The sequence below is a fragment of the Homo sapiens genome, chromosome 2 (genome assembly GCF_000001405.40).
Source record: "Homo sapiens chromosome 2, GRCh38.p14 Primary Assembly".
NCBI lineage: Eukaryota > Metazoa > Chordata > Mammalia > Primates > Hominidae > Homo > Homo sapiens.
This window is the reverse complement of record NC_000002.12, coordinates 13814329-13823410: the sequence shown is the minus strand read 5'-3', so window position 1 is coordinate 13823410 and position 9082 is coordinate 13814329. Positions and strand designations below refer to the sequence as shown.

Below are 9082 nucleotides of genomic sequence, written 5' to 3'. Positions count from 1 at the left end.
AGCTCAGAGTTCTGGTTCTCTATCCCAGTGCTTCTATTTTAATTCTGTTATGTGTTTTCTAGGAATCTCTGTTGCTGAATTTAAAAGACAAAATGGAAGGCAAACTCTAGATTCTAATTCACAGAGAAAGTGTTAAGAACAATTTATTAATGAAGTTTTGAGAACAATGGTGTAAAGAAAATATTAGGGTAAATTTCAAAACCTTCTTGCAATTTCCCATGTTGTCTTTGTAATTAGATGTGTTCTCAGAATGCAGTTATACATTTTGTAAATGACTTGTGAATGTCAGCTAATCTTGTTTTAATTAGAGCAAATAAGCCTGATGTGAAGGAAAGTTTTAAACTTTAATGTTGAATTCCTTTCAAGTGTAAAGTGCAGTGAAAAAGTTCCTTTTTTACGTGAGAAAGAAGACAGTATAATGAATCACGGACCTCAAGAGGAAAAAAGCATTTCTTTTATGAAGCAGAAGAAAAATAAATATTTTAAATAGTAAAAAAATTTTTCTTTGAGAAACTGTATAAAGCCAAATTCCAAATTTAAAAGCTTGATGTACAAATCATGATGATTACACTAATTATAAGAGCTAAAATGTACTGAAGATGTTCTGTGTTCTTGACATTGACCAAGAAGGCCTTAATGTTTTCCCTCAGCTTGGACTAAACTTCAGACAGGATTGTAAGCCCTAACCTTTCTTTCCTTAGAGCATTTACTTTAGAAAACCTGTAATTGCAAATTCCTTCTCTGCCCCTTTGAGATGTAAATCTTTTTTTTAAAAGCCTCTTCCCAGTTTTACAATTCAGCACTGCCTTTCTCAAGGACCTAGGAGCCTTACCTTTGAAATGCAACTGTCAAGGAAGATAACATAACACCCCTATCTCCTCTTCCTATGGCAGCGTAGGAACCTAACTTCAGCTGGCACCTTGTTTCAAGTTGGATAATCACCTCCTTTCACAAAGACTTGAGAAAGTTCACTTCTTTTCCTTTTAGTAAGGACAATTAGCAAGGGTAGATGGTCTGTATCCTCCAATCCAAGCTCTTAAAACGCTCCCGCCTTTTGTTTCAGCAGAGGTGAGCTCAGACTGAATTCTGGAGTCTCTTCCTTACGTGTTGAACTATGTCCAGTTCAACTTTTGCTTTGAAAAGATCTATTCTTTGTAATTGGCTAAGGGGGCATATAGCACATTCTCTCCCTCAAAAATGTAATAGTAATAACAGTAATATACCTATACCTGGTGCAGGCAGCATTGTATGTGAGAACTGCAATATAATAATAATAATAATAATAATAATAATAATAATACATATACCTGGTGCAGGCAGCATTTTATATGAGAACTGCTCTGGACCCTGATCACTAGAATCCTGGCTTGTATAATCAGGTGGTGCCATGTGATCCATCAATTTAGCCTCAACAATCTAAGAGAACCTTAGACTCAGTATTTTGTGATGATGAAAAATAAATGTGTTGACAATGACTGAAACCTCTTCTTGAAAAAAAAAATACAATTAAACATACACATGCATATAAAAATAAACATTAAGGATTTGTAGCGGGTAAGAATGACTCCTCAGACTTTCCTCTGAATTGCTCTCTTGAAGCACCTGGTCAGATGTCTCTGTTTAGTCCAAAGAGTCCCTGTGGGTGCCCAGCTGTCCATCTTGTTCAAGCCTATCACAATCAGAGAAAATCTTGGATTTCACAACTTCTGAAAGAATTGTCCTGAAGGGCAACGTTCTATCAAATGATTTCTAGGATGTGATGGTCATCATCCAAATAAGCCTTCAGTGTGTGGGCCAGCCTGTGAAGGGCAGCACCTCTCTGTGTCACCCACCTGGATGTGTTACGTGCATATATGCCTGCTCTTGGTGTATGTACTCTGTGAGAGCCCTTCACTCTTAAGATGATGTGAGGAATACTTTGAACTCTTTCGTAAAAAGACTCATTTCCTGCTTAGCACAGACTTGGAAAACAACCCACATTTCTTGCACAGAGTTGTCATGACATTTTCTAGATAGTGATATGAGGTATCCCTCATGAATGTGAAGTGACTCAAGAGTGGTTCAGATGTGTTTGTGATTATCCCAGGCCAAGCTGCCTGCAGAACCACACTTTATTGGCAAAATAAAACAGTGAGGCTAAAGAATTTATAAATAAATGTTTTTTTATAGATGAGAAAAGTAATAGGTAAAAAACTGATTAGAGACACATGACCGATAAATTAACAACCCTGAATTCAAACTATGTTTTTGAATCTAAATCATGCCTTTCTTCCACTTAAATTTGCTCTTTCATAGCTGTAAGAGATGTCAATTCCCCACAGCACATAAATTACAGATGAGCTGCTTCCTCACTTTACCGCTGAGAGCCAAAGAGGTTGATGGATTTTGCCCAAGGTCTTCCAGTTACTGAATGGCAGAACTTAAACAAGAACCCAGGTCTTCTGACTCTAAGCTGGGATTTACATCATAATTAATAGAGGGATCGAAATGTATAAAAATAGAGGTGTTCCTAGGGAGGGCAGGGGTTGGGGTGTCATTAGGGGGTTAATTGCTTTCTTTGAAAAAGTAATTCCTAATAAAAAGTACCCTATACTAACCATCAGCACTTCTATGAGTGTAACTTGTGACGCTTACTTAGTTATACATAGACTTTATATATGGACAAAAGAAGGACAGCCAAAGGAAAAAAATCTATCATTTAAAAAAATATATTAATTTAGCATTGTATTAATCACGGTTATTCAGAGAAAAAGAACCAACAGGATGAGTGTGTCTGTGTCTGTGTGTGTGAGATTAAGATTAAGATTTTAAATTATTGGCTTAAGCAATTGTGGAGACTGACAAGTTCAAAATTTATAAGATAGATAGGCAATAGGCCATCAGGCTGGAGACCAATGGTTAGCTGATATTGCAGTTTGAGTCCACTGCAGTCTGTTGGCAGAATTATTTCTTCTTTGGGCAGATCCATCTATTTTTTTTCTTCAATTGATTGGACGAAACTGGCCCACATTTTGTAAGAAAATCTGCTTTTCTCAAAGTCTACTGATTTAAATCTTAACCTTATCTCTAAAATACATACAAAGAAACATCTAAAAATATGTTTGGGAAAAAGCTAGTACTGTGTCCCAGTCAAGTTGACCATACAATTAACAATCACAAACATGTGTCATGAGTCACTCTTTGCATTGTTGCTGAATATTTAAAGATGAAAATAATAAAACAAAACATAGGCTTACATAGCCTAGTATAGAAACAAACAACAAATGATTTCAACATACAATTTTTGTGCTAATGGAGATATTTGCAAGGAAGAGAGCAGGAAAGGGATTCACTTAATTGTTACTTAGGAGATAAGCAGGGAAGCTTTCCTAATAGGCAGAGAGTTTAGCTTGGAACTTCAAAGATGGGTGGGGACTTCCCAAGCAAACAAACAGAAAACAGGACTTCCCAGTCAGAGGAAATGTTTGTGGAGAAAAAGAGATTTGACGGAATGCTTCCTACTGGGGAAGCTACGGATAATTTTATATATATATATATAATATATATATAATATATATTATATATATAATATATATAATATATATTATATATATAATATATATTAAATATATAATATATATAATATTTATAATATATAATATACAATATAATATATATGATATATATAATATAATATATAATATATTATATATAATATAATATATTATATATTTAATAAATGGCTCTGGGAAGCCTGGAAGGAACTTAACATGGAAGGCTTCCTGGAAGACGTAACACTTCCCCTAAGAGTTTACTGATAGGAAGACTTAACCCACCAGTCTTCACTTCCCCATAGCTATATATTTATATATATATATATATATTTATATTCTCTGAGAATGTAAAGTACTTTGTTGACCTTGAAGAATATGAAGGGCTTCTGTGACTAGGAGAATAGTGGTGGGAAAGTAGCCAAATTTCTTCCACCCTGTGAGAGTGTGTGAGTGGGACATGAGGACCGATTCACACAGTACTCAGGAGAGAGAGACAGCACCCTGACAAGTCTGAAGAAAGAGATGCTTTATATATATATATAAATATATATATGAATATATATATAAATATATATATATAAATATATATATAAATATATATATATAAATATATATATAAATATATATATATAAATATATATATAAATATATATATATAAATATATATATAAATATATATATAAATATATATAAATATATATAAATATATATATAAATATATATATAAATATATATGAATATATATATAAATATATATGAATATATATATAAATATATATGAATATATATATAAATATATATATAAATATATATATAAATATATATAAATATATATAAATATATATATATAAATATATATAAATATATATATATAAATATATATAAATATATATAAATATATATATAAATATAAATATATATAAATATATAAATATATATATAAATATATAAAAATATATATATATAAATATATAAATATATATATAAATATATATATAAATATATATATAAATATATATAAATATATATATAAATATATATATAAATATATATAAATATATATATAAATATATATATATAAATATATATATAGTGGAGAGGGCAAAAGACAGGAGATGGAGATCAAAGGCCAGGTGGGACCTAGATTGTGGAGGGCTTTGTGAGCCATGCAGTAGCTTCTGCACCATATCCTGTAGTCCCTGGGAGAAATGGAAGAATTTGATGCAAGTCTTCTCATGGCCAGATATTTGTTTTAGAATTCACAAGATGGGAAAACCAAAGACAAGTGAAAAACCTGGATACACATAGCCATTAGAATCAGACTGGTATGATGGGATTATTACAGACACAGCACAACTTCATTAGGTAATTGTCCAACATTTGCCAGCCACACAGATATTTTCTAATATTAAAGATCTCAATAGCAGGCTGATCCCCAAAATATTCTTCTCTTCTTTCTTTGAAGTTAGCGTTGTTCAGATACTTCTCTCTCCTTTGGACCTGACTGTTTTCCTGAAGTTCTTATGAGCTGAGGTCAAATGACCAAAACTAACAGTGCCAAGGAATTCAGATAACCCTCAGGGGCTGTTGGGGTGAGGTGGGACAGGTTTTCGTCTCAACGTGTCCCGGTTCCTTTCAGGGTCAGAAGCCATTTAGAAATCATATTGGACTGTATAGGTTTGAGTTGCTTTGACACTTCAGAACCTTGAGCAAGTCACTTTAGATCTTAGGTTTCAGTTTTCTCACCTTTAACGTGGAGATAGAACTCTCCACCTGGTATATTACTGTGGGAAATAAAAAGAATTTATAAAAAGTGCTTAGCCTTGTGTTTGTTGAATAATACTTGACCTAAAAGTTCCTCCTGTTTGGCCAGGTTTCTGACAGCCTGTCTATGCTTACCCTCTCTGACCCGAGAGAGTGTTTCCTTCCTAAATATTGAACTATTTGCTACTCTGAGTTCAGCCTAATATTTTATCCTTTAATTCTTCTGCCTGGAATATCTATCTGTTTTCTGCTGTCTGGTGGGTTAAGTCTTCCTATCAGTAAACTCTTAGGGGAAGTGTTACGTCTTCCAGGAAGCCTTCCATGTTAAGTTCCTTCCAGGCTTCCCAGAGCCACTTCTTCACTTCCCCATAGCTATTAGCCCTACACCAGTGGGGGCTGTGAGCTTTAAAACTATGTATTCACTTTTATTTCCCCAGAAATTTCTGAAGAACAGCACAAGTAGTGGAAAATAAATATTTATATTAAAAGAAACAAAACAAAGAGCTGAAATAGCAAATCAAATATCCACCCACTGCATGAGGGAAATATTTCCTACAAAAATTATGTTTCATGTTGCTTAAATATGCTTTCCCCTTCCACATTTTTCAGTGAATTTTGGCACAATGTTTCTCTTTCCTGGTGTCCATGTCCTTGTCTGTAGCAAAAGACTGAAGTTTCTGAATTACTGGATAAGGCTCCCTGTAGTTTGGAATCTGTGTTTCTTCAAAACAACCCAATAGTAACAAGTAAATATTTTCTTATAAAAAAATGCCTGGCATTTTAAAGGAGTCAGAAAACAACTGTACACATTGAAATCCAAGTCCTAGCTAGATCACACTCATGTGTACTTGTGCTTCTGGCTGTGACAATTTTACAGAGCATCTCTTTCTTCAAACTTCTCAGGGTGCTGTCTCCCTCTCCTGAGTACTGTGTGAATCAGTCCTCATGTCCCACTCACACACTCTCAGAGGGTGGCAGCAATTTGGCTGTTTTCCCACCACTATTCTCCTAGTCCCAGGAGCCCTTCATATTCTTCAAGGGCAGCAAAGTACTTTATATTCTTAGAGAAAAAGAGCTATTATAATGCAGTATGCTATCTTTTTTTCAAAATAGAGGAAATCTCTGACTTTAAAAATGTTCTCTTATATAGGATCTGCACATTTAGACAACATATACATGATTAACCTGATGTATTTTATATCAATCTTTAATAGCTGCATATTTAATAATTCTTCATAGCAATATAACCTCATATTCCCACCACCAAAAAAATGACTAATTTAGTTTGCCTAAACTATCCAAAGTTTATGTTTTCCACACACACTTGGTATCCATATAGGCATCAATGTGTTTGATTTTGAGTATAGTAAACATAATTTTGCATAGTTTTTTTAACTAATAACAATCCATTTTTCTCATAGATTTTCCAAATTGTTTACGTTTTAACTGATTGCGTCAATGGCCTCTTAAACTTCTTTTGTGATTTAGTGTAAAAAATTTTTTTGTGATTTAGTGTAAAAAGCAAAATGTTTGTAATTACACAGATGTGAATTAGAATTCAAGCTCTGATACCAGCATGTTGGGTTTCCTCAGACACCTTTTTATTTATTTATTTATTTATTTATTTGAGATGGAGTCTCTCTGTGTCACCCAGGCTGAAGTGCAATGGCGCGATCTTGGCTCGCTGCAACCTCTGCCTCCCAAATTCAAGCAATTCTCCTGCCTCAGCCTCCTGAGTAGCTGGGATTACCTGGTGAGACACCATGCCTGAGTAATTTTTGTATTTTTAGTAGAAACGCGGTTTCATCATGTCGACCAGGGTGGTCTTGAACTCCTGACCTTGTGATCTGCCCATCTTGGCCTCCCAACGTGCTGGGATTACAGGGTGAGCCACCGTGCCTGGCCCGACACCTTATTATTAATAATAATGGTGAGCCATGTTTATCTTAATTATAAAATAGAGAAAATAATTCATCAATGTTAGGGTGCTTATGAAAATTAAATGTGTTAACACACGTGAGAATGTCAAATATGTTGTCGAGCACATACTGAATGTTTGAGATATTGTTTTCTTTCCTTCTTTTAGAAAGTTGAAATTATTTTTTTCTTTTTGTTAGTGCTCATGCTGTTACAAATAATGCTGTAAATATAAGGTTATCCTCTATTCTCATACAGATATGGGCATAGAAAATTACACATAAAATGTTTCTAATTATATGTATTCCTAGGTAAACGTATGTGTAGTGCAAGAATTGTCTAATTAATCCCTGTATATCTGAAGTCAATGGTTCCCACCTGGGGATAATTTTGTCCCCCTGGGGACATGTGACAATGTTTGCAGACATTTTTGATTGTCACAACTGGAGGATAGGGTGAAACTGCCATTACCCATTTAGTGGGTAAAGATCATGGATGATGATAGACATTCTACAATGGACGGGACAACCACCCATAACCAAGAACTACTTGGCCCAAAATTCTAATAGTGCTAAGGTTGAGAAAACACACCCTAAATCTACCATAGTACCTGGCATATCATACATGGCTAATAAATATTTCCTGACTGTATGGGAAATTCTCGGGTCCTCGCTGAAAGTAAACAGCTGGGTGCGTGAATTCACAATGTCTAGTATGCTATTTTTCATATTATAAAGAAAGAGCAATGGATGCCAAAAATATTACAATGTCAAGAGGATTTATTCTGAAAACATGTTTACTTATGTGAAAATAAAGTGGTTTCTCCAAATAGCACATTGTCCTCACGAAGGCACTTTTTTTTAGATACAAAATAGATAAGCATCCACTCTTGCCCACTTTATCAAAAGCTGTAAAGCAGTTAAAATTAATAGAAGGGAATGACCTCCATTATAAATGTCGCTCATTACCTGTCAGATCAATGAGTATTTAGATAGGCTGAACAAAATAACACTCTCAGATCAAAAGCCCACTAACGGCTGAAATATACTTCAGATTAAGTTAATTGCAACCCAAGAGGGATAACGTTAGCCAGTATTGTTCTGTGCAGTCTAATTAAAGAAAGCCAGGTAAAATCAAGAGCTTTTGGGGAGCTTTATCAGGTTTTACCAAGTCACAGACTCAACATATTTGATGACAGAATGTGTTTACAAAGAACGATAGCAGTAACAAAAAAGCCGTATGAAATAAAATGAAGGAAACGTGTATCTTCCTAGAGAGATAGGATATAAAGACCTGAATTGCAATCCTGGATTTATTATCATGTTCGTCAAAGAAACTATTAATTTCTCTGTGCTTTTATTTTCTACACCTATGCAATAAAGATTGTTGAAAGATTTTATTACTATTATTTCTTGGAAAAATAATTAAATAAAATGAAATAAGATGAATAAAAGAAGGAACAGTAACGATATGGTATGTCTTATTCTAATAAATAAAATGTATAGCTAAACTTTCACATACCAAGTACAGATTGTGTTAAAACTCGATTTTCATCTTCTCATTCAACTGTTGGAACATATGATGAGGGACATATTATTATTAGAATTTTATAGATAAAGAAACCAAGGAACATACAGGTTAACTGGATGGGCTAAGATCATGCAGATGGTAACAGAGATGAGATTCAGGTTTCTAAACCCCACATTATACAACTTCTCAAAGCTGGTAAGGAGAATAACTGTGTTTAACACCAAATCTTCTGATACCAAAGGCCTTTTCTTTGTACCCCAGTTAGTTGAAGCCTGGAGATTAAACAATGATAACAAGTTCAAAAACTTCTCAGAAAGGAAAGTACTGCCTAACTTTAG

At 33.9% G+C, this 9082-nt stretch overlaps 1 annotated feature.

The window, feature by feature from the left end:
- Positions 297-1179: an enhancer, noted in NCBI's record as "OCT4-NANOG hESC enhancer chr2:13962357-13963239 (GRCh37/hg19 assembly coordinates)". NCBI's record gives its function as "activates a minimal SCP1, AML or CMV promoter by ChIP-STARR-seq in naive H9 embryonic stem cells {active_cell/tissue: H9 hESC(naive)}" and the evidence as "EXISTENCE:reporter gene assay evidence [ECO:0000049][PMID:30033119]".